Source organism: Homo sapiens, chromosome 15 (assembly GCF_000001405.40).
Source record: "Homo sapiens chromosome 15, GRCh38.p14 Primary Assembly".
Lineage (NCBI taxonomy): Eukaryota > Metazoa > Chordata > Mammalia > Primates > Hominidae > Homo > Homo sapiens.
In genome coordinates, this window is record NC_000015.10 from 68581149 (window position 1) to 68606837 (window position 25689).

The window sequence follows — 25689 nt, forward strand, 5'->3', positions numbered from 1 at the left end:
CCTGTTAAGCCCACTGGCAGGCCTAGCTTCTTGGTATCCAGTAACTATTCAACACTCCTCCACCCCCATACCCAGCCCCCAACAAACCCTCCATGTCGCTCACCTCCTGCTCTAACCAATGTGGCTTTGGCTTAAGCAAGCTCAGGGGATTAAATAAAATCCCCACCTTAACCCTATCTTCTCTCCCCTTGCTGGCCCTTCACAGACCAGCGTGTTCTTGTGGGGAACAGAGAGCAAGAGGGATGCAGGAAAGGCACTGGGGACTGCTTTGCTGTCTACAAGCCCGCTGGTAGTAGCTCTTCCAGTACCATAGGGAAAGCCACCATGCTCTGGAAGTCTGAAGGCCTGGCCCCTAGTCCTAAATTAGCCACCAACAGGCTGTGTGACCTTGGACCAGTCACTTCCATCCTTGGGCCTCTGTTTTTCTATTTGTCAAATGTAAGACTTGGTTCCAATGATCTCTAGGGCCTCTTCTGCTGAGCCTTGGTGCAGCTTCAGTTCTGGCAAGAAAGTCACCTCTGATGGAGATTGGGAGACTCTTTGTTCTCTGAGGGGTGGTCTGTTTACAAGACAGATATGAAGGAGAACCCTAAAGAGGGTGTGAGAGGTAGGATCGCTGCTGACACACTGGGAGCGGTAGGTAGGGGAGGAAATGGGTTCGAGAGTGAGCTCCCAGGGCAGTGTCTAGGGCTCTAGCCTTCTCTGCTGCTGCTTCTCCAGGCAGAGGGTCATGGCTGGGTCCCAACTTCCTGCCCCTTGGACGAATGCCTTAGTCCTTGTATCAGGTCCCCTCAGGGCAGAGTCCTCTGGGCCAGGGTTAGGTATGGACTGCAGGAGCTCTGAGCTCAGAGAGGCCTGGCAAGTGGAGAAGAGGAAAGCAGATGGCAAGTTGCTAGATCCTCAGTAGCACTTCTGTAGAGGAGGTGAGCCTGTTTTCCATTTTCCGCCTCTCTTTCATACATCCCCTTGCCCCCTTAACCATGAGGCACAGCTGCTAAAGCTGCCGGCAAACCCTGTGGTTTCTGAAGGACTCCTGCCCTAACTAGCCTTAGGAACACAGAGCCCCGGAGAACTTCTAGCCCTGTGGCATTTCTCCTGGCTATGTTTTAAACTTTATTTGATTGTATGTAATTTAGTAAGTTACCTTACTTTCTTTATAGGATGAGAAAGAGAAGAAAGCCAGAAAAAGGGAAGAAAGAGTGGAGGGAAGGAAGGCTCTGATGCAGGGCCCTGAGCATGCACAGGAGGTCAAGGTGCTGCCTCCTCTCAGTCCAACGTGCTTCCTAGGGCAGCTCGGGGCGAGGGAGCCAAGGCTGCTTTCCCTGAGACGAGTAGCTCCAGCTGATTTTATTCTTCAGGTTCTTCTGACTGCTTTGTATAATTTTCTTGTTCTGTTCCATCTCAGTCATGTACCAGACTAGCAGTGCTTCTCCAGTTCTAAATATCTGTTTCTACATTGCTATCAACTGGAAAAGCAGAGGACAAGGTACATTAATAGAGTCGTGTGTAAAGTACAAGTTAATGGGCTATAAGAAAACCTGTGAGCTAAAGTCTAGGCCCTTGCAACCCGCTTTGTACTGCTCAGAGGCCCTTTAGGGTGATTTCCTGGCTGCTGGCTGTGATGTGACCCAGAGGTGGGTCTTCCAGGTAAGGGAGGAGGTGGCTTATAGTGACCAGGCTCCCCTATTTTGAGGTGTGCTGTGTTAAGTTAGACGCTAGTGAGCTGAATGCTTTTTACCTTCCTGAGCCTGGCTCAGGGGGGTCAGCGGTCCAGGAGCAAAGTACCCTGAGCAGCACAATTGCCTGCTGCACCTTAGAAGGCCTTAGGAGAGGGAGTGTGGGAAAAGAGAAGACCTTTCATGCCAACATGCTCCTCCCTGCTAAGCAGATAGATTGTAGGTCCGTGGGCAGCACGATCAACTGTGCCCTGGCCCCTCTTTCTGCAGGCAGCCTTCCCTCTCCTGCCTCAGCTCCAGCAGGGCACAGCCTGCTGATAAGAGCCAGTGGCTCCTGCTGAATGTGAAAGGACTGAGGATGATGTTATCCTGCCCAGGTAATAGCAGGCCTGCATTTTCCAAAGATCATGTGTCTCTAGGGCCCCTACAGAGTCACCCATAGGAGAATAAAATTTTGGAGCGGGCAAATCACCCAACCCTTTCCCTTGAGAAATGAGGGAACTGAGACGCTGGGAGCAGAAGTTGTAACTTGCCCAAAGTCATTCAGTAAGTTTGAGGCTGGAGGGGCTGGCACCTCGGTCCTGACTCATGGTCAGTGCTCTTTCCACCCGGCTGCCCTGGCAAGGGGTCCTGGGGCATTCTGAGCAGGCACAAATGTTTTGGCCCCACTCCACTTACCCCACTGCATCGCCCCTTCCTGTCCTGCTGGTGCCTGGATTTCCCTCTGTGGGACACCATCTGCCCTAGATGGAAGAAGCATTGCGGGAGTGGGAGGAGGGACAGGATGTGGGGCAGGGGAGCAAAGTCCATAGGAGCCTTGCTATACCTACAGTCAGATGGCGAGGGGGATTATGAGGCCCCTCTGCCTCCAGTTCCCTGACGCAGAATCTAGGTACCCAGGAGATACCTGAACCTCCAGACATTCTACATCCCAGCACCTCGTTCCTGTCTGGGTCTCCCTGGGAGAGGAAGTAAGAGAGCCAGCACCTCAGGAAGCCTTGGTGAAGAGGAAGCGGGGGTACCAGCACAGACCCAGCTCCCGGGTGGGAGCCCACTTGCGGGTGGGCAAGGGCTCTGCCTGCTCTGCCCACACACCCATTATGCCTCCTCTCCCTTCCCGGCCTTCTTCCAGATATCCAGCATTCTCATGCTGGGAGGTGTGCGGCTAGCAGTCATTCGTTCATTTAGCCAGCACCCTCTGAGCACCTACTCTGGGCCAGGCCCTGTGTGAGGCATTAGGAAAACAGTGGCATTAGCCACAGTCCCTGGGATCCAGGACCTTAGAGGAGAAGGACATGGAAAGGCCAAAGCCTTGAGTTCAGAGTCTCGAGGTCCAGTGGGCATGAGCCAGGAGACCTCTTGCCTTGCCTGCATACTGTAAGTGCCTAATGAATGCAGGCTCTTTCCTTCCTTACTGTCTCTCCCTCTAGGCAATGAAGCTCACTCTCCAGAAAAGCGCTGTCAGGTGCTTTCTTCTGGACTGTGCCCAGAGGCCCTGTGTTCCCCTCCCCCGAGGCACTGCCACCTTGACACCTATGGCAGTTCTTAGAGGAAGCTGGGAAGGGTTTGAGGCTCTCCAGGGCTCCCAGAATCACCCCACAGTGGCCAGCCCTGTGAGGTTGGCACACACTTGAGTTTGGCTGGTTGGGAGTGTGGGCGCTGGCTGGGCCAATGTCCTGGCAGCTCAGGGATGGAGTGAGTTTTTCCACTTCTCTCCCAGGCCAGCTAGCTGAAGCAGACACAGCCTCCGCCAGGGCCAGGGCTGGTGGAGTCTCGGCTCCTGGCACCCGGGCAGCCCTGACTCTGATTTGGATATGCCTGGCCACAGAGCTTATCTGGTGTCCAGGAGATGAGAACGTGTGCAGATTCTCTCTGCGCCCAGCCCTGTCTCCTTCCCTCTTTTCCTGATCAGCCCCATTGGGTTCCCATTCCTTCCCCTGTAGGCCCTGCAGGCTCAGGCCCAGGGTCCTGGAGCACCCTGCAGCCTGGGGAGCTTGGGGCAGCTGGCATGGGGCAGGCCTTGCCAGGGAAGGACAGATGCAAATCCAGTGGCTTCCACATGAAAAGTAGCTGTTTAGAATGAGCCTCTCCTTTGTGGGCCTGGAGTGCGGGACCAGCTGCTAAGGAGGCACAAGTGGGGTGGGGGTGGGGAGTGGGGGAGAAGCCACCACCGCCCTTCCTCATCCCTCCTTTTTGCCCCCGCAGAGGCCCCTGGAGGGACTTTGTAATTGGTTTCTGGCTGGCAACCTCCTTCCAATTAATTAATGTAGCAATGGGAGGCTCCCAGGTTTGCTCAGGCTGTCTTTCGTACAGAATACATACATGGGTTACTTCCCTGAATCCCATCAGCTCTGTCATGGTGGGGACGGTCCCCTCTATTTAGGGACGGATAAACAGAGTGTCTGAGTGGAGAGATGACCACACCCTGGTCCCAGAGCTAATGTGGGTCAGAGGCGGGATGCACGCCCAGATCTTCTGGCTTTGAGCCAGAACCTTTTCAATCCGATCACATAATGGTCCACAACCCATGAAGATTAATCACCATCATCATGATAATAACAGTTATTAAGCAGGCGTTGGGCACGCATGATCGCATTTACTCTGTACAACCATGGGGTAGATTCTATTATCCATCCCATTTTCTAGAGGAGGAGAGTGAGGCTTAGTGAGAGTAGGTGAACGGCTCAAGGTCACAGGTTGAATGAATGGGTGGGGAGCAGGGATTTGTACCTGGGCTGTCTGACTCCAGAGAACACTTTCATCTCACTTCCAGGCCTTTGGTCCTGGGGCATGATCGTACTCTGCTTCCACTCCCCACCAACCCCCCACCTACAACACAGTGGGCTATTGTCTGTTGTGTTTGTGGCCCTGCCACTGAGGATGTGCAGGACAAATGCTGGTTGCCTTGAGGGTGATGCCCATGGTTGTGTCCTGCTTAGATTTGCCTGTGGTCTTTACTGGAGCTAGGAGTCATGTAAATGATTCGGGGAAGGGTGCTGGGGGAGGAGGGTGTCCTATACATGGTGTTTGACATCAGATTGGGCTGCTTGGGTAGGGCATTCAGCCGAGGGCAGAACAAAGTATGACAGAGGCAGAGCCGCCTTCTCCATTTCCATGAGGCTAGCTTGGTTCAGAGAACGCAGGTCCCTGGTCCAGGCCTGCAGCCCTTACGAAGCAGCCTTTTCTCGAGTTAGCCCCTGATGATTTGGGGTTCCACTGGCTAGGAATGCTGGCTTTGAAGTCAAACACATGGCAGTCTGTCATTTACTTGCTGTGTATTCTTGGGCAAGTTGCCTCACCTCTCTGAACATCTGTTTCCTCATCCATTCATTGGGATTGATAATAGTAACAATCCTTTACTATTAAGGATTGTTATTAAGATAAAGTGAGCCGATCCATGTGAAGCACTTACCATATGCCTGACATGTAGTGTTAGCTGTTATTCTCAGGAAGACAGAAAATTAATGAGTGTCCTGGGGCTTATGAAATGAGCAGTACAGGGAACTCTGGGAATAGCAGGGGGCCTGACCTAGTCAGAGGGATGAGGAAGTGACTTTAAGTTGAGTCATGAAGGATGAGTAGGAGGTAGCAGGTGAAAGGAGGGGAGCTGAGGAGGGAGCAACAGGCCGGGGATGAATGGGCAAACGTCAGGAGTCAAAAGCCACGGACCTTGATCACTTCCTGCATGCTGGACATTGATGAGAGCATGGTACAAGTATCCACTCATTTAATCCTCAGAGTGACATCATGGCATAGGTTACTGTTATCATCCCTGCTTTACAGATAAGGACACAGGCACAGAGAAGCTAAGTCACCTGTAAAAGGTGGCCCAGTGAGGCAGGATGAGGCTGGTCCAGACCCGGACCTCCGGATTCTGGCCTCTTTCCTTCCCGCTGCCTGCTGCTTGGTGATAGGGAGGGTGGCCTGACCCTGGCTGCTTCTAAAACTGACCCAGGCAAGGGGGTGTGGAAGTGCCAAGTTCAGTTGCCTACCCCGATGCCTCACGGAGCCTCCTTGGGCTGTGTAAAGTGGCCAGAGGCCCTCCTGGCTCTCAGGCAGGAGGGAGAAGTCATTTATTTTTCCAAAAGGAAACTTTGCTCTGGCAGGAAATTTTCCACCTTATATTTTTAGTGGGCTCAATTATGACCATTTTTGTTCTTTAAATCTTTCTTATTATCTATATTGGGCCTTGGTCTTTAAAGTCAAACTATAGGGAGATATGTATACACACACACACACACACACACACACACACACACACACACACACACAATTTTTTTCTAAAGTGTTAAAAGTCCACACCAATAGTCCCAGCTACTCAGGAGGCTGAGGCAGGAGATCATCCTGGGCAACGTAGTGAGACCCCATCTCTAAAACAAACAAACAAAAAAAACCCCCTAAGTGTCTGCAGTTTGGTGTCTGCTCTGTCCGAGCTCAGAGAAGGTGGATGTTTTACATGGTGTTCATGCCACAGGCTTAAACTTACTGTCCCCTGTATGAGATAAGTGTCAACACCCCTGGAGGCTCTGGCTGCCCAGAGCGGTGGTGTGTGGAGGCTCACCCTGGGTAGGTGCTCATGCTAATTGCTGGGAAGCCTCCATGATCAGTATTTAACTCCGGAGATGTCTGAGGTCATCTGGGCCAGCACTCTGCCTGTACGGCACTCTACACTTTTTAGGAATATCACAATGATTCCTAATTTTAATTTAGATTCGTTTAAGAAATACCAATTTAATAGTAGTCAGTTCTCAGCCTTTCACCAGGTGCTAGGCCCCTGCTTTCAAGGGACCAACAGACAATAACAATAACAATAATAATAGAAGCGGCTAACCCTTCCGGAGCACTTAGTTTATGCCAAGCATATACAATATGTTTTATATGTATTAATTCATTTAAGCTTCATGACAGCCTATGAAGTCTGTGCTATTATTATCCCCCTTTCTATGGTTGCAGAAATGGAGGTCCAGGGAAGGAAGGGAGGTAACTTTTACAGTGTTCCCACAGCCAGTCAGGGACTCAGCCTGCCTCGCAGGCCTTCTGTCTTGCCACTTTGTCAGGCTGGTGGGAATGACCCGGAAATATGTGGTCCAGAGCATGGGACCTGGAGGCAGAAGACCCAGGCCTCGCTCTTGCCTCTGCTCCTTACTGTGTGACCTTGGGCTAGTCCCTGGATGTCTCTGAGCGTCTGTGAAAATGAAGTTAGTAGTCTATCTCTGTAGGGTGCTCTAATATTTAAGTAACATGGAAAGATGTAAATAAGGTGCTTTGTAGATGTCATGGCAGGAAATGGTTTATTGTGATGTCTAATCTGTGCCCACTCCTTTCCTCTTCCTCACCAGTATTTCAAGGCCCTCAGATTTAGGCAGTTCCTTCCAATAGCTAGCCCACTTCTCCCCTGCTGTAGTCCTTATTTCAGAATTGATTCATACTCTGTGGGTGGAAGAGAAAAGTTCATCTCTTCCAAACAGCCTCTATCTGTTTTTACTCTGTCAGGCTAGTTTGGTGCAGATGAAAAGTTGCTTTTCTCTCTTCCTGTTCTGTCTATTTTGGCTGTTTTAATATGCTTGGGACAAATAATCTGGCTATAAAAATGTGGTGTCCTGCTTTCATTTGAAAAGTGAGCCAAATAAAGCATCCAAACCTTGATCTGTATTATCCCGGCTCTCTGTAGATCAGAGCTCCCTGTGGAAGGCGAGGGAAGGTGGGTCCCAGAGCACAGTCCTACCTGGGTCCCTGGGCAGAAAGACCAGGTTCCCACTGTCAAATGACCTTGATCTTTGCTCCAGATACCTCCCGATGCCCCCAGCGCTCAGACCTGCTTTTCCTTTAGGTTTATGGAAAGGAATAGCCTCTACTAGCTTGAGGCATTTGCAGCAAATCATTTAAACACCTTGAGTTTGATTTCAGAACTAACAGTTTTATAATCTGGAATCTGGTAGAATCCAGGACGTGGAACGGCTGATGGAAAGAAAGGTGTTGGTGGAAGGGGACAAAGGGATTTAATTCCTGAGGATTTTTATTTAACTCCTGAAAAATTGCTGGTTATGCCTGCCCTGCTGACCTCCAGGTGAAAGACCAGCTTGCAAAAATGCATGGGGAAATTTGGGATTCCGAGAAATTTGGAATTCTGGGAAAGGGGATTTCTGCATACCTGAGTGGCCAACTGATAACTTTATCATCACAAATCTTTCTTCTAGAGACCCTGAGTCTGCCTTCCTGCCTTACTCATTAAAAGATCTGGGAACAAACTCAAGTTATTATGGATTGAGGCTGTTTCAGGGCTTGAGCTGTTCTGTTAAACTGACCTTTTCAGGGTTCGGATCCACATTAATTTCTCAATCCTTGGAGTTCCTGTAGCATGTGATCCCTGGTATACCAGCCAGCAGGTAAAGGCCTAATGTGCCTTGTTTGCTGATTATCTTATGAGCATGATCTTTGGCTCCCTAACTTGTGAGCTTGCTGAAGCTAGAGATTAGGTCTGATTCTTTTTAGTAGCTTTCACAGCATTCATCAAAGGGCTATGCATGCCAGTTAGAGTGTGTTGTGGATTTTTCGAATACCAGGTATAGACATATAAGATTTGGCAGGATTTGGAGCAAACCTAAAACATTCCCTGTTGCTGCTTGGACAAAATCTCTACTGTTAGAGATCTGTGGACTGCTACAGCCGGAAGGGACTTTAAAGATGTACAGTAGAAACGCCCATTTTGCAGAGGAGAAAACTAAAGCCCTAGAAAGTTTTCCCAAGGGGGTATAGGAAAGATGTGGCTGAGTGGGAACTGGGGCTCCCCCAAGTTACTGCTCAGGTTGGGTTTTCCAATTCTGTGGGTTTTTTTCTAGGCTTCTAGTAGTTGCCCGATGTTGGCAGGCCAAGGACTGATTCAAAAGTGGGGAATGGGAGAAAGTTCCAGAAAGGAGACTTTGAGAACTTAACCTAGATGGGAGGAGGCACCTGGTTGGAGAGACTTGGCTCCCCAAGTGACCAACTAGGAGCGCCCTGACCAGAGGCCTGGTTTGGCAGTGGCAGAGGCAGAGGGAGCAACTTCGGAGCCCTTTCTGCTCAACCATCAGGCTGCGGCTGCCCAGGCCTGGCAGTGCATGCCCTACATGCCTGGCTGCCCCCCTGGCCTCCACAGTGGCCCGTGACCCCCGGCTCTCCCTCCTGGAAGCTGGCCGTCCTGGCACACTGGGCTGCCAGCAATCTTTCCCTCCTTTGTTTCTCTGAAACCATGAGAAGGGCCGCTGAGTTGGGAGCCTGGGTTGCTAAGAGCTTTCCTCAGGCCAGACCATATCACCAGCTTGAGAAGTCTCCTGGCCAAGATTTCCCTGGAACTCTGGCTCAGAGGGAGGGAGAGTGGGTGGAGGGAAGGGGAGAGGGTACTCAGGAGCCACAAACAAAGCTGCCCCTCTGCACCACCGCCCCCCTCTCCCAGGACCAGAGTGTAGGAGCAGCCTGGGAGCCACAAACTCAGTGGGCCTTTGCTTTTTGAAGAGCCCTGGGAACAATGGAACAACAAAGCTCTTCGGAGGCTGCCCCCCCATGCCCAGCCCTGCACTTCTGTTCTCTCAGGTACCCCCATAACTCTGCTGTTACCCCCACTTTTCAGAGGGGGAGACAGCCTCCGAGAGGATGGCCTGCCCTGCTTCACACAGCAGGAAGGGGCAAACTGGGCCATAACCCGCTGGCTGCACCGCCCCATGCACAAGCAGGAGCTGCAGGCCAGCTGGCCTGGCAGTGGATGGCTGAGGGTGCTGCGGGGCCGCTGGTTTAGAAGGTCCTCCCCTACCACTTCGCTTAGAACCCACTATAGAATTCCCTTCCTTTGGGTCTTTTAGGTGTTCTTAAAAATACAAGTCCCCCTGAGGGGGTAATAATGCCCTAAGTGGTTGTCATTGACTGGACCGAGCCTGCTGGAAGGAAAACACTAGAGTAGGTGCAGGAGGGGTTCCTGAGAGGCAAATGAGGCAGGAGGGAGAGCTGGTTACTGTAAGTGAGCCAGTTTTGCCAGGGAAGTGAGTGTGGAGAGGAGAGGACAGCCAAGCTTATTCTGTGTTCCTCTCCACCCTGGCTGCCCTGTTCTCCTATGCAGGGCCGGCCGCCTTCCCCATCCCTACCCTTGTGCAAATAAAACGAGGACTGAGATTTATTTAAAAAAAATTTGCTGAGCCCTGTGTGCCAGGCCCTAAGCGGCATTGAGGGTGCAGGGATGAACCAAAGCAGTCTCTGTCTCCAGGGGGATCCTGGTCTGTGGGGGGACACAGGCTGCAGGACTCAGAAGGACACATGGCTGCAGGGATGTTGGGGAAGGGAGGCTGATGGGTGGAGGCGTGGAACAGCAGTGACAGGGACATGTGCACAGAACTGTGAAACTATGAGAGACGTGGCTGGGCAGGCCAAGGAAGCTCTCTGGAAGGAGAGATCTTCCCTCAGTCTTCCAGCATGAGTAGGCAGAGGCAGATGAAGAGGCAGGAAAGGCATTCCAGGTTGAGCGGGCAGCGTGAACAAAGGAATGGAAGGGGAAACATGTTTGGCTTATTCTAGGAGAGAACCAGTTGGGTGCTGCTGGGCTGGAAATGGAGGGGCTGTATGTGGCTGGACAGGCAGGCAGGGGCCATGGGGAGCTTTGGATGCCAAGCCAAGAAGCTTGAGCTTCATTGTGTGGTGTTGCTGGGAGTCCTAGAGGGGCTTTAAGCAAAGGAGTGATGTGATCCCATTCACACTTTAGGTGGTCTGTCCCTACCCACATTGCCCTAGAGGCAGAGAGGTGAGTGGACATTCTCAAAGCCTATGTGCAATGAGGCGGGGAAGGGGTTTCTGAGCCCCTAGCCCAGACCTCCTGAAGGTCTCTCCCTGTGCCTGGGAGCTGGGTGTCACATATGCCCCACCCCATACCCTAAGATGGGAGTCCTGGCCTGGACCACTCCATGGTATGGGCCTTTCCCATCTGCCTGGGCTGCCAGATGGTTCGATCTAAGGGTTGAGAACATAGGAGGGGGCAGAGGACCAGAAGTTTCCTTCTAGGAAAACGTGGTTATAGCATGGCGAGAAGAGCACTGGAATGGGATTTCAGGAGCTCCTGCCTAAACCCTAGCCCTGACCCTCCCTGGCTGTGTGATCTTGGGTTGGTCACTTCCTCCTCTGGTTGGGGACTGCCTCACCTGGTTTGAGGCTGGGTGCAGAAGTGAGCTTCTGGATGCGAGTTTATGCCCTGATGCTGCCCAGCCTTGGGCCCTGTTTTACCCTCTTCCCTTCCCCGGTGTCCCCAGACTCTGCAGCCAGTGTGTCTCCTTCTGCGCCGTGTCCTCCAACCACACATCCACTCCAGACTGCCAAGAGTTGTGACAAGTTCATGAGACTTGGAGGTTAAGGACCAGAGTTTGAGTCCTGCCAGCTTGCTTGCTTGGAGGAGGTCTCAACCTTTGTGTTCATTGTCATACATGTGGTGTAAATTCCAGCCCTTAGCACACATAAGGGAATTTTCTGAGTCAGCGTCTTTCATGTCTCTTGGATATACCCCACCTGTGCTTGTTCTGTCTATTTCATTGGGAGAGCCCTCATCTGATGGAATTCTATATCCAGTTTTTAGTGGTTACCTGGGGTGGGGATAGGGGTAGAGTATTAACTGAGATAGGGTATGAGAGAAACTTCTGGAGTGATGGCGGTTACATGAATGCATACATGTATAAAAATCTGTCAAGGCAAACACTTAAGATTTGTGCACTGTAGGCATGTTATATATATTTTACATCTCAATTAAAAATAAATAAATGAAAAAAGATTCTTCCCAGCTTTCTGGTTCAAGTCCCACCTCTCTGCATCTATTCATATATTCATTCACTCTATAAATATTTGTTTGTGCTCCAGCCAGCCCAGGCATACAGAGATGGAGAGGCTGGTCTGTGTACTGTACAGTATGTACGGAATGTACAGTATTCTGGTCTGTGTACTGTCATGGGAGCTCAGAAGCACAGAACCTTCAGGGCTCATGGGGATATTGACCATGGAGGTGGTTCTCAACCCCGGCTGCAAATCACCTGGTGAGGTTTAAATGCCTGTTTCCAGCTTCATGTATGTTTTAGTCCATTTTCTGCTTCTGTAACAGAATACCGCAGACTGGGTAGTTTATAAAGAACAGAAGTTTATTTGGCTCATGGTTCTAGAGACTAAGAAGTCCAAGAGCATTGCACCAGCATCTGGTGAGGGTCATCCCATGGCAGAGGCATCACGTCATAGTGAGTGTGTGAGACAGAGAGAGGAAATTGGGCCAAACTCATTCTTTCATCAGGAGCCCACTCCCAGGATAATCACATTAATTAATTTGTGAGGGCAGAGCTCTCATGACTTAATCCCCTCTTAAAGGCCCCATCTCTTAATACTGTTACATTGGCAATTAAATTTCAACATGAGTTTTGGCAGAGATATTCAAACCGTAGCCATGGGTGTATGACCTGTTCAACATTTGGTTTAATGTTCTGTTGTCACTGTCTTGAAATTCTTAAAAACTTTTGAAAAAGGGGACCTGCAAATGAAATAGTTGGTCCTCCCTGTCCTCCTTCCCCCAGAACAATAGAATCAGAATCTCTGAGAGGTGGGATCCAGGCAGTCACATTTCTTAAAAGCTGAGCTTCCATTCTCTAGCAGCCAGGTCTGGATGTAGCCCTACTCCTAGACATTTGCTGAAACACAATCTGGAGCCTCGTTCTCTAGACACTTGTGACTGAGCTGGAACAATAAGACTTCACACATGAGAGTGTCACAAGAGCAATTCCTGGGCAACAGTGTTAGAAAGCTACAAGGGAGCTCAGAGAGGAGGGGAAGAAGACCCTCTCTGGGTTTGTTTTTTTTTTTGCAACTCTGAAAAGAGCTATCAGTCCAGTTTGTCTGCCCCTTGATAGTATTTCCAGAAGTGGATGAGCTGTGAAGTGAGTTTGCTCTGAGGTGGCGAAGTGGGTGTAGGACGCATTGCACCATGCAAAGGTCCCATTGTGGGGTGGGAAGGTCAAGGAAGGCTTCATGGAGGAGGTGGCACATGAGCCATCCTGACCTGAGAAGGGCGAGAGAAGAGAAGAGAAGAGGAGAAAAGGCAAAAGGACAAATGCATTTAAGAAGGGGAAGGGCTCATTTGGGGGAAAGGGAGGAACTAGGCTAACTGGAGTATGACTTGAGCAGAGAGAGATGTGGTTGGGTGGCACAGGAAATGATAGTCTGAAGTCAGAATCCCGTCAGCAATGGGGAGCTGTTGAGTGTTCTGGATCCAAGAATAATGTGCTCCATAAATGTCTGAACGAATAAACAAAAGGGGTGTTTGGGGGAGACATAAAGGGGATTGGCCCTCTAAATCGCTGAGGTTTGCAGCCAGAACTCTGGTCCACCTGGCATGGAAGGCTCTGCACCCTCTTCCCCATAGGTGGTGCCTGTCTGTGCAGGAACCTGGTGTCCCCTGCAGTATGGTCCAGGGGCAGCAGTGACTGAAGCATCCCCAAGAATAGCAGACATGGAACAGACCATTTCCTCCCATTTCTAGGAACAGCAAGCTGTGGGTGGATGGGTAGGTGGAGGCGCTTTTGGTACAAGCTGAGCTGTGCTCTCCAGCTCTCACCAGGTTCCCCAGCCCAGGTGAGCAGCCCTGGCAGGAAGGTGCTATCTTGTATCTCCCATGGCCTGGTGAACACTAATTCCTTGGGCAGGGTGGTCCCTGCTTGGAATAGAGGAGCCCCGATTTCTGAATAACCAGCAGCAGATCTAAAGCAGTTCTGTTTGTTTCTGTCTCCTGAAATATTTATGCAGGAATATGAGAAAGGGGCTCTGTTTATTGAACTCATCCTCCAGGGCAGAAGCCGTGGGGAAAGAGCCACTTCCCATGTCTGCGAGCCAATGAGCAGAGGTGGAATTTCTTTGGGTTTGAAGTGAGACAGAGCCTGTGTGCTTGCAGAAGGAAGTGGGGTGGGATTCCTGGAGAGGACAGAAAGCCCTTTCAACCTCTTGCCTCCAGTCCCAGGAAAGCTTTTCAGCACATACTTTCCTGGCGAATCCAAATAATAACAATTGAAATCTCAGCCTTGGTTCTACTCTGGGCTTTGCCTCTATCATGCTGTGTGACCTTAGGCAAGTTGTTAACCTCTCTGGATTGTTTTTTTCCAATTCTGAAAAGAGTGAACTATCAGTCCAGTTCTAGCTGTCCGTGCAGTTCTAGCTATCAGTCCAGTTCTGTCTGCCCCTTGATAGTATTTTAAGAGTCAGTTGAGTTGTGCAGTGAAGTGGATTTAGGAAGCATTGTACCATGCAAAGTCCCAACTCTGCAGCATTCGAGGCCAGAGAACTGGCTGAGTGGCCAGCCAAGTGGCAGCCTCAGCTGTGACTTGTGGGGTCAGGCCAGAGAGAGTACTCTCTTGAGCTGGACCCTACCCTGCCTCAGGTTGGGACAAAGGGGCCCCCTCCCTCTTTCCTCCTCCAGCTAAGCCCTGCTGTCCTGTGTCCCTGAGAACACTGGCAGGATTTCCTCCCAGGAAGGGGGACATGGATGTCCAGTTTACATCCCTGGGAGTTGCAGACACCAGAGAAGCAAGGCAGCACTTCCCCATGACAGTGGGATACGCCTTATCGTCAGATATAGAAGCCTGTGGCTCCAGGCCCTGAGCCATGCAGCAGGGCTCAGATATCCGCTGTCCTCCTTTAGGGGACTGGGATCCCCTTCCCTCAGTTCAGCCCCTTGGGCAGGGCTTCAGGGGCTTCTCCCAGGGGTGGGTTCTGTTCTCAGCTCTGTGACTGGCTTGGTCTTCCTGTTTCCCATGGTGGACTTCATGAGTGGTAAAGTTAATAACAGTTATTATCACTAGACCAATCCAAATCTTAATACAAAATACCATCAATTAAGCACCTGCTCCATGCCAGGCTCTGTACTGGCTCAGTGGACACACAGAGGGGACCAATTTCCCCAGCCTTTAAGGAAGTTGAATTCTGCCTGGGAGGCAGACGGGCAAACAAATACGGATGAAGCCATTGGCTCAGCATTGAATGCGAGTCCTAAAGGCCGAGGGACCCTGGTGAGACGGAGCGGGCGTCTGGGAGGAGGAGGTGTTGGAGTGTGGCTCTGAACCTAGGTGAGGGAAGGAGCAGCGTGAGCAGAGGCCAGGGCAGCGACGCCGTGGGGTGCTCCCGAGCCACGAGGGTGCCCAGTGAGGTTTGAGTGTGGAGGGTCGGGGGCTGGGAAGGTGATGAGGGCTCAGGGGTGGCTTGCGGGGAGGTGGGAGTTGTGCAGGAGTGCTGTTCCTGGGCCCATGTGTATCAGTCCATCCATGAAGAGCCTTTTAGTAGTAAAGAGATGCGACGAAGTCATTAGATTCCACAACAATAAATCTTCATTAAGCATGCACTGTGCCCGTGACCCTAGGTGATGGGACAGTCCACATGGGTGAATAAAACAGGAACAGTCCCTGCCCTCAGGGACAGGCCCAGGAGGATGGGGAGACAGGACAGAACACAATCCTGACATCAGTGGTAGAAATGCTGTTAAAGAAAATACAGGGGCATGGGGGGTAGGGGGTGGGGGTTGTGAGAAGGGGATCCCCTGTGGAATGAAGGGGGGATAGAGCCCCATGGGATCTAGGGGGATCTTTCTGGCTGAGAGAGAAGCAATTTTGAGGCTCCAGCAGGAGCCTGCCTGCCACGGAAAGCACAGTGAGCAGGCCTGGTCTGGTGGGAAAGGAGATTGAAGGGGAAGGTGGGTTCTGGCTCCCATAAGGCTGGCCTGTGCTAGCTGCTCACTAATACTTCTCGACTGACTGGGAGGACAGATAGGTGAAGGATAAGGCTGGAGGCCTGGAGCCCAGCAGCCATGTTGAGGTGATGAGGATGGAGCCAGGGCAGAGGCAGCAGGCACAGGGAAGATGCATCTTCAGGCCTTGGGGATGGTGTGGGAGGAGAGGGGTACAACACAGCAGGCAGAGTCTTCCCGGAGCTCCTGGGAGAAGATCCAGATCCACAAACCCACGGGGAGAAATGGCCGCGCATCACGCAGAGCACTCCCCACGCCCCTTCCCACAGGCCACCCCAGCCACTCTGGCCTCCTGACCTGGGGCCCATGGAGCCCATCCTGTGGCTCTCCTCCTGCCTGCCTTCTGGAGGGTGCTCCAAACTGGGTCTTGTCCTCCTGCAGGGCCAGCAGGGCTCCGCAGAAGTCCTCAGGGACCGCCCTCCCCTGCCAGCCTCACCTCGAGTCCAACCTCATTAGTATTTTGAGCAGAAGCATATATATCTTTTTTTTTTTTTCCTGCAGGGAATTGGTGGCCTGCTCATTTCAAATTGCGTAAAACCAAAGAGCAATTAAGAGGCACAGCCTTCTCGGGTCAAGGAGAAATGACAGAGAGAGGTGGCTTTGCTCGCCTGGCTGCTGGCACATCTTTTCCAGGCTGGCCTGGTTTTGGGGTGACAGGGAGGGGAGATGCTGTGGGATTTTAATTCACCAGCAACAAAATACTAACGAGTAGGACAGAATCACTAATGCTTATTCAGCGCTTACCATGTTCCAGGGGCAGTCCTAATTGTTTTACACGCACCTCATATCACCCTTTCAATACCTAGGAAGCACAGGGAGATGGCTTCTACTGTTATGCCCATTCTGTGAAACTGAGGCTCCAAGGGGTTAAGCAGCATGCCCCAGGTCACACAACGGAAATGGAACCAGGGTTCTATTGCATCCCCATTGTGCCCCAGGGCCCATGCTGTTAACTGCCTGGCTGTTTGGCCTCTCAAAAGCATTGCATTTAGCCAATCACTTCTCCCTAATTTCTGTTTCCCCCCCATCAAAAAAAAAAAAATAAATAAATAAAAAATAAAAAAGACCAAACGAACAAAATCCTCCATTGCTATGGAGCTCAGAGGCTTCACCAGGGTTACTGTGGTGAACAAGGGCAGAGAGGAACCTCGGGCAAAAGTCCAGCCTGCGGTTCCCATCCTTGTCCCTCTCCCAGTGGCCTGCACAGTTAGACCCATTGCTCTTGGCTGGTGTGGAGGCATCTGACCCATTAGGGGGCCACTGTGGTGGTCCAGGCGAGAGGCCTGAGCTGACCAGGGGGATCCAGTGAGGACTGAGAGGAGGGCAGGATGCAGGGTGACGTTTTGGAAGTTGATGAGTCTGTGGGGGTGGGTATGAGTTAGAAGTCAGTGGAGAACCATGGCCACACAGTCAAGAGTGATGGAGAACCCAGGAGAAAGAGGTGGCGCTGATTTCTCCACCTTTTCTTCAGATCCAGACCCCCTCCACCACCTGGATCATCCACCTTGTTCCATAGACTTGGCTCTGAGAGCATTTTCACTGTTTCAGAGAATCGGATCCCAGAGGCTGAAGCTCAGTGCCCTGGGCTCTGTAGGCAGCCCCTGGAGAAGAGGGCGGGCAGTCTGGCTGGAATTGGGGTGTCCCGGCTCTCAGGGAACTGAGCTGGTTCCTGGCCCAGGCCATGTGGGTTTTAGGATTTTAGCATTGCTAAACCCTCCTAGAACTGCTGTGTGTGTGCACGTAAGCGTGTGCTTTGGTAGGGGGTGGAGATAAATGGGAAGTTCTGCTGTCTCTGCTTCTCTATTTTGCGTGGTCAGTGATTTTTACTAATAGTAACCTTCTGGGGAAAAAATGATCCAAGGGCAGCAGTCCAATTTTCTCTAGAGAGTAGGCCTGCTTTCTAAAAAAGGACTCAACCTGAGAGAAGCCAGAAGGAGTTCACACCCTAGACTAGAGAAGCCAGTCCCTGGTGAGCACCAGCATGCCTGTCTCCAGACTCCATTCCTGCCCTGGAGCCCGCTTGGCCTTGAACGCCCCTCTGCAGCAGCGTACTCTCCCCAGCTCCTCACTTTGGAGTTTTAATTCTACCGCAAACCTAGCTCTCCTCTGTGCCTTCCCATCTCTTTGCTGGGCACCAAGGAGCTGATCTGCTAACTGGACTTTGTTTAGAAATCTGGGGGTTTGTACAGAAACGCTGCCAAAAGAAAGTTTCTGTTCTGTCCAGACTCTCCTGAGGCCTGGAAGAGTGACTCTGCTTGCGGGAAGCTGGTGGGGATGGGAGCTGGGGCAGCCATGCTGTGAGTCTGTCCTGGGAACAGGCCCAAGCTGGGTCTGGAGCTGGTCTGGACTAGGAGAGTGAGGCTAGGGGTTAGGGGATCCACCAGCCTGTATTCCTAGAGCCTGTCGCCCCATCCTTTGGCTCGGCCCTGCCCAAACCACTTGGCTGGGCATTCAAAGCCTTCACTCTCTGGCCACCATTTACCTCCTTGGCCCCTGCCCAAACCAGACACTGGTCGGCTTGCTGCCCCCAAACTCAACCTCTGCTTTTCTGCTCCCTCTCTACTTGAAAAGTCTGATTCCTGCTTTCAAAGCCCAAAGTGCGACCTCCTCCACAGAGCCTTCTCTGATCTCTCCTTGCTCCAAACTCTATCCTTCTCATGCCACTGCTCTGATGAGATAGTTATATCTGAACATGTCTTGTCTCTCCTGCCAGAGGGCAAGCCCCATGCCCTGAGTGGGAGGGAGCGTGTCGCGCCACAGATCCCATTGGGTGCTCCTGCTGTGCCTGGCCCTATAGATGTTCAATTACAGGTTTTTGAATGATGTATTTATATTTTTTGCATGGATATAAGAATCTATTCTGTGCATGCGTCATAGCTTCAGCCATATAAGATGCATTCGTTGGCAAATTCATCAGAGGGAGCAGAATAAAGCCACCCAACTCTGTCCCCACAAGGGCCTGAGACGGATATAGGGAGCTTATTCTTCCTTTCTTCAATTGCCCCACCCCCACGCTGCCCAGACAGATCTGGGTTGCCCTTGAGGAATTCTAAAGGAGGGAATGCACTCTCCACTGCCCCTCAGACCTTCCACCCAAGAGAGGCAGTGCCCTGGTGACCTCATGACAGTAGTGTGCCCTCCCCAGGCTCTCCCCTCCCCTGGGAGGCTGCCACATGCTTTCCGGACATCCGGGTCTCATTATGCTGTGACTCAAAAATTAATCTTGTCTAATTGTGCTCGAGGCCTGAGTGAATTCAGGGACTATTAGCCAGGCTCTGTGGGCCTGGGGTCTCCATGGCAACGAGGATGCATCATAATGAACTGCGTCCTTGGAGACTGGCTAGGAGGCATGCCCCTCCCACCCCTTGGTGTGGACTGCTGCTGCTGTCCCTGCTGCTTGGGGTAGGCCCCCTCCAGAGGGGACCTGGGGCTGGCAGAGGGAGTAGAGACAGTTTCTGTGTGTAGCCTCCAGTCTGTCTCAGTGCTTCAGGGATAAAAGATACTTGCAGATGGATGATCCCACAGCCTTATTGTTGGCTGAAGATTTCTTCAACAAACAAACAAGCCTCCATCTAAAAACCACACACACAGCACATCAAATTCCAATAGCCTAAGTGCTGTTGTTTTGCAAATCTTTCTAAAATGTGAAAATTGCACTCCTCCGTGGAGGCCTGGCTCCAGTGTCACCTCCTCCAGGAAGCCTTCCTCAATGTTTGCATCTTTCCCAGCCCCATTCTGCCACTGTGCTTGGTTTGTGAGCCAGGGACATTTTTCAGCACAATCTGCCAAGGAGTGGACTTCCCTGAGTACACACTATGCTCCCTTCCCACCAGCAGACAAGCTCCTCCAGCATGGATAACCACCGCTGCCCTCCTCTCTGGGGTCCTAGACCTGGGTACCTGTAGGACTTAGTCGGAAAGACAAAGCGGTCTTTGTTAACAGCCTCTCTCTGAACTCCGTCCCACCCCCGGACCCAGGCTGGGGGGTCTTTTCTGTGGATGTGGCTTTTGGGGCCTTCAGATACCCTTGTGCCCACTATGACCATGGGTGCCGACCAGTGGGCAGACACTTTGCCTTCCCTATCTAAGGAAGAGGGAATGCCCTAAAACCAGGCCTTTGGGGAAGATGTGGAGAAGAAAAGGACATTTGAGGAAATGAAAACAGTAAATGGGACAGCCCTGGCCCAGCCTCCAGCTTCCTGGCCCTTGAGCCCCTCAGTCTGGTCCCCCACGGGGAGACAAGAAGCGTGGGAGGAAGGTGAGGAGGGAGAGATGCAAACCCAGCAATTTCCCCACAACCACAACACCACCTTCCCGGCTGTCCTGCTGATTCTCGGTTTCTAGAAATGACCGGAGAGAGAGGAATGAGTAGGGAGGAGGCTGCCTGTCTGACTTTTAATTAAAAGGGAGAGGACACCTCCTAGCCAGCCTTTAAGGCAGGGGCACTCCTGTGGTGTGTGTGCCTCCCTCGATGGGGATGGGGTGGCATGCAGGTTTTGTGGGTGTGTGAATGGTTGACAGGTAGAGGTAGCCATTGGAAAAGCTGTCCAGAAAGCCGCATTCTCTCCTCGCTCCTCCACACCCTCTCCCCTTAGTGCAGCAAACGTTTCTTGAACATTTCTTGGCTTGAGTGCCAAGCTCTGTGCCAGGCCCTGGGATGTAGAGATGGTTGAGATACTGCCGCTGGGCTCCAGGGCGGCAGGCGGGGACAGGATGGGGTTGGCAGCACTGGGAGGTTGAGGGTTCCACCCGTCCCTGGGCCTCATTCAGCCAGCATCCTCTGAGCGTTGTCAGGTGCTGTGCCTTTCGGTAGGCACCGAGGATAAAACGGTAAGTGTGGCAGAGGCCTCAGCCTGCACGGAGCTTACAGTCAAGAGTGGTGTGAGGTGGGGATTGCGGCCATGAGCGTGCAGTGCGAGGAGGGCTAGGATGAGGGTGCCTGTGGGGGCCTGGAGGAGCAGCAGCCACACAGTGTCGGGGCATCAGAAGGCCTGCCCCAGGGGTGGCCTGGAAGCAGAGATGTGAAGGAAGAGGAGGATTTGGCCAAGAGAACAGCTAGGAAGCGTGGCTGAGGTCAAGGGAATGGCTGTGTGTGCGAAGGCCGGAGAAGAAATGAGGGCTTTGAGGAGCAGAAAGAAGTTGAGTGCAGCTGGGGCTTAGTGGTGCTGGGGCAGGGCCCAGGCCTGGGAGGGCTATTGTCTTAGTCCCTCTGTGCTGCTGTAATAAAACACCTGAGCCATTTATAAAGAACAGAAATTGATTTCTCATAGCCGTGGAGCCTGGGAAGTCCAAGATCAAGTCATCAGCAAGTTCTTTTGTTTGGCAAGAGCTGCATCCTCCAGAGGGGGAGGATCACTGTGTCCCAGCATGGCGGAAGGCAGAAGGCAGAAGGCCAAACACGATGGGAAGGCTTTTTTTTTTTTTTTTTTAAATAAATGCCTTAATCCCATTCACCAGGGAGGAGCCCTCATGGCCTAATCACCTCTGAAAGGATCTGCCTCGAATACTATCACATTGGCACCGTCTGAGTTCTGGTGGAGACACATTCAAATCACAGCAGCCATCATAATCCCATTCGCAAGGACCACGGACTTGGTCCTGAAGTGGGAGTGGGGGGAACTGCTGACTGGCTTTATTCCGGGGAATGACACTAGGTTTATGTTTTAAAAGACCACTCTGACATGTATTTTTTTGATTAGTAGAAATAATTTTTTTTAAACACTCTTGGTGCTGTGGAAGGGAAGAATTGGGAGACAGGAAGGGTTTTGCCATGATTGAGATATTTGGTCCTGCCCAAATTAGGGGCTGATCACACACACACACACACACACACACACACACACACACACACACGTTTTACCTACATGTTGTAATTCACTTTGATATGGAAATTTTAGGTCACTAAGAGAGAGATGAGCAAAAAGCGCTCTTGCTGTGTCTTTAACCGCCTCTCCCTATCGTGTACTATGTTAAACAGGATCCAGCTGTAACCTCCACGGTTCCCAGGGCTCTGATCAGCCTGGCTGGTGGGAGCCCCCATAGCTCTGCCTGCTCTGGGGTTTCCCTTCCGTTTATTGCCCCCCCTTGAGGTAGGGATGATAGATGTGAGGTGTGACTGCCAGTTTCATAGTTCTCTACATCAGTGAAGGAGGTTCTGTGCAATGTGCAACACCCACTTTCTTCCTGAGAACACTAAGAAGCAATTCCTCTCTGTTTTCTAATAAAAATGTCTCGTGGAAGCAAGCCTGTTTCCTGGGAAAAGAGGGACTGCCTGTACGAATCTTGCAAGCACACGTGTTTCCCTGGTTGGGATATATATAATTTTGTTTTCTTGGGGCAGGGGGTGGACACACAGCTTTGCAATCCCTTGCCTAGAAACAGCTTCCACACTGGCTTAACACCATCTGTTTCCCCTGAGCAGGAAGGTGTCAAAGAGCCCCCTGCTCAAGGATGGGTCTGTCAACGGTCTGTTAGGATAGGAGGTGAGAGACATTGGTTGCCTGGGGTGAGAGAGTAAGACAGATGGAGAGAGAAGTGGGTAGGTTGGCTGGAATTAGGATGCAGAATTGTCCACTGTGTCTTACACGCCATGGAAGTCCCAGGGCTAACACAGTACGTGGTCGCAGTAGGTGCTTACTAAACTAGTTGCTGGATGACTGTGTTGTCAAACAAATAAATGAATTGAATGAATGAACGAGTGGATGGATGGGAGGGTATGCACAGATGAGCGAAAGTTGGCCTGTAACCTCCAAATAATTATTATCTTAAAAAAACACACTTGCTAATCATACTAGTGTGAGGCCTGAGACAGAGGAGCCTTCGTGGAGGACAAACTGCAGCAACAGTGCGAGGTCATCAGCAGATGTCAAGGAGTCCATGTGTTTAGGGCAGAGTTAGGGTGACATGGTGCTGTGGGCTGAATTGTATCCCCCTAATTCATATGTTGAAGCCCTAACCCCCAGTGTGTTTGGAGACAGGGCCTTTAAAGAGATAATTCAGGGTAAATGAGGTCATAAAGGCAGAGCCCTGGCCCAGTAGGACTGGTGTCCTTATAAGAAAATAGACACCAGAGAGCTCACTCTCTCCGCATCTGCACAGAGGACACAGCAAGAAGACGGCCGTCTGCAAACCAGGAAGAGAGGCCTCACCAGAAACCAACCCTGCTGGACCTTGATGTTGGACTTACAGCCTCCAGAACTGTACGAAATAAATATCTGTTGTTTAAGCCCCCAGCCTGTGGCATTCTGTTATGGCAGCCTGAGCAGGCTAATACATAGGGGATGCTGGATCTGAGTTTGGAGCTCAAGGGGCAGAACATGGGGAAGAGTGCCATGTTGTAGAATTCAGAAGGGCAGCTGGTCTCCTTCAGAGGCTCATACTAGAACATGTGCACCAGGAGGTTCAGCATAAGAGCCCAGGCTGTGGAGTCAAGACTGCTGGGGTCCAAATTCTTACCCCATAGAAGCGTTGTGAGCACTGAGTGTATTTCATACACAGAAAGCATTTGGCACAGAGCCCGGCACACAGTCAGCACTCCACAGGCATGAGCCGCCCCTCGTCGTTCTTATCACGTTCGCTTGTCAGTATTGTCACTCTGGGCACCCCCTTCCCTTGACGCATACTCCAGGGCTCCAGCATTGCTCAGAGTTTTTGGGACCTTCCTGAGAGCAGCTCTCAGTAGCAGCTTCTACCATCAGGAAATTGGTTCCATTCTTCATGGTCAGCCCCCACCCCCAAACCGCCTTTCCTACCACGAGCAGAACAAGTGTGTTCCTGAATGATTTGGGATTATGGCTGAGGAGAGGAACCCTATTAACAAGGGCAAAGATTGCCATCACTGAGGATAGCCCTAAGAATGCCTTGCCAGTCCTAAGCAGAATTTCATACCAGGAAATTAAAAAGGTGTGGTTTTTTTTTTAAAAGGCGACTTTATCTCAGCAGCATGGCTAGAATATGTGTGTGTCCTCCCCAGAGGACCACTCTGGAAAGGCTGGAGTCCTCTCTATGTATAAGTTGTGATTTAAAAAAAAAAACCTCCCTTCTGTGTAAATTCAGCCCCAATTCCTCATCCCAGCATTCCAACAATCAGAAATCACACCTTCTGAGAACCTATGGAAAGATGGGATTATGGGTGCGTTTGTTTACATGGTTATACTTTTCTGTTTGCCTTTCTAGATTGTGCATTTTTTACTTTAATAATTAGGAGAAAATTAAGCAAGCTGTTAAGAAGTTTTGAGGCTGGGCATGGTGGCTCACGCCTGTAATTCCAGCACTTTGGGAGGCCAAGGCGGGCTGATCACGAGGTCAGGAGTTCAAGACCAATCTGGCCAACATAGTGAAACCCTGTGTCTACTAAAAACACAAAAATTAGCCAGGCATGGTGGCACACACCTGTAATCCCAGCTACTCAGGAGACTGAGGCAGGAGAATCGCTTGAACCTGGGAGGCAGAGGTTGTGGTGAGCTGAGATCATGCCACTACACTCCAGTCTGGGCAACAGAGCGAGACTCCGTCTCAAGGAAAAAAAAAAAAAAAGAAGTTTTGAAAAGAAAAACTTCAATCTCCCAGCTGCTTAGCACTGTCCTGGGTCCTATGGCAGTGTCGTCCAAAGTTGTATAAGCCATTATCAAAGACACATAAAGTAAAGTGGGATCACCCATTTGGAGAGCAATTTGGCAACAGACACCACAAGCCATAAAAATGTCCATATCCTGTGACCTAGTAATCCCGCTTCTGGGAACCTGTCCAAAGGAAATAATCCAAAGGCGGGGAAAAACTCTATGCATCAAGATGCTCATCACGGCATTATTTATAACAATGAAACATTGGGAACAAAATAAAGGCCTAATGGTATGAGACTGGCTGAATAAATTAGGAAGCATTGATTCAATGGAATATTCTGCAGCCGTTAAAAATTATAATACCAAAATGATATGGCAGTGTGGGAAAATATTCGTGCTAAGTGAAAAAGGTGGGACATAAAGTTTTATGCATATCATGATTGTAACTGTGTAAAAATTATTTGGAAAGTACAGATGCTTCAAGACTGGAAAGTGAAGGGAGAATGGACAGGACCTAGAAGTGGGCTGGGAGGAGTCACAGAGGGCTCTTGGGTTTTTTTTTTTTTTTTTTTTTTTTTTTTTGAGATGGAGTCTCGCTGTGTCGCCCAGGCGGGAGTGCAGTGGCGCAATATCTCAGCTCACTGCAACCTCCACCTCCCGGGTTCAAGCAATTCTCCTGCCTTGGCCTCCTGAGTATCTGTGATTACAGGCACCCGCCACCACACTCAGCTAATTTTTGTATTTTTAGTAGAGACGGGGGTTTCACCATGTTGGTCAGGCAGGTCTCAAACTCCTGAACTTGTGATTCGCCCACCTTGACCTCCCAAAGTGCTGGGATTATAGCAGTGAGCCACAGCGCCCGGCCGGCTCTTGGGTTTTGAGGGTGAGCAGCTGGGTGGGTGAAGCCTCGTTTACTGAAAGTCATGGTGGCAGAGAAGCAGATTGGGGTGGGGAGAAGACCAGTAGTTTAGCTCTACCATGTTAGGTCAAAGGTGACTGCAAGAATCCAAAAGGAGGGTCCAATGGTCAAAAAAGAGGCCTAGACCAGGAGTGGGAATTTTGGAGCCATCAGCCTGTAGATAGTGTTTAAAGCCCTAAGCATGAATGACCTCAGGCAAAGGGAGTTAGGGTGGTGGGGCTTAGCCAAGCAAGCATATTAGAATCACCTGGAGATCCCTCCAGGCCAGTGAATCATGGCCTCTGGGCTGTGGTTGGGCATCAGCATTTATTCCAAGCTCCCTGGATAATTCCAGTGAATCTAGGACTGCACTCATGGTCCCTGTGTTCCCCAGCATAGGGCCTTACATGTGGGCAGCATGACTTATAGCACATGTAAGTACCGTCCTGCTACACTGAATGGTACAGTTGTTGGTCAGGCGCTTTCCTTAAAGTAAACATTTTCCATACCCCAAATTCTGGCACATGGCCTGAGAGAATTTTTGAGCTGCTTCTGAGTGGAAGAGGCTGTGTAGAAAATACAGTTTGGATACAGAAACATTGAAAGGATGAGGATATTTTGCTAGCTCATGGGTAGAGTGGGGGCAGAGTATTTGAAACTGGGACAGGCACAGAAAAATCCAGAGCATAACTGAACACGGAGTTATGTTTCCTCTGATATCTTTGGTCAGCTTCTGATGGCCCCAGATAGAGGATGAGTTTCTTGAGCATGGAGGGGTGGA

The 25689-nt window shown here is 50.9% G+C and overlaps 1 protein-coding gene across 2 annotated transcripts in view, besides 4 other annotated features; it reads left to right on the forward strand.

Annotated features, from left to right (window-relative positions):
• Positions 1–25689, forward strand: part of CORO2B (coronin 2B) — a 209434-nt gene that overhangs the window by 62776 nt on the left and 120969 nt on the right. The gene's annotated exons all lie outside the window — the stretch shown is intronic.
• Positions 5142–5436: an enhancer, noted in NCBI's record as "tiled region #3237; HepG2 Activating DNase matched - State 9:DNaseU, and K562 Activating non-DNase unmatched - State 21:Repr". NCBI's record gives its function as "activates a minimal TATA promoter and a strong SV40 promoter by Sharpr-MPRA in HepG2 and K562 cells {active_cell/tissue: HepG2 | K562}" and the evidence as "EXISTENCE:reporter gene assay evidence [ECO:0000049][PMID:27701403]".
• Positions 9061–9852: an enhancer, noted in NCBI's record as "H3K27ac-H3K4me1 hESC enhancer chr15:68882548-68883339 (GRCh37/hg19 assembly coordinates)". NCBI's record gives its function as "activates a minimal SCP1, AML or CMV promoter by ChIP-STARR-seq in naive H9 embryonic stem cells {active_cell/tissue: H9 hESC(naive)}" and the evidence as "EXISTENCE:reporter gene assay evidence [ECO:0000049][PMID:30033119]".
• Positions 18536–19115: an enhancer, noted in NCBI's record as "H3K4me1 hESC enhancer chr15:68892023-68892602 (GRCh37/hg19 assembly coordinates)". NCBI's record gives its function as "activates a minimal SCP1, AML or CMV promoter by ChIP-STARR-seq in naive H9 embryonic stem cells {active_cell/tissue: H9 hESC(naive)}" and the evidence as "EXISTENCE:reporter gene assay evidence [ECO:0000049][PMID:30033119]".
• Positions 20320–20879: an enhancer, noted in NCBI's record as "H3K4me1 hESC enhancer chr15:68893807-68894366 (GRCh37/hg19 assembly coordinates)". NCBI's record gives its function as "activates a minimal SCP1, AML or CMV promoter by ChIP-STARR-seq in naive H9 embryonic stem cells {active_cell/tissue: H9 hESC(naive)}" and the evidence as "EXISTENCE:reporter gene assay evidence [ECO:0000049][PMID:30033119]".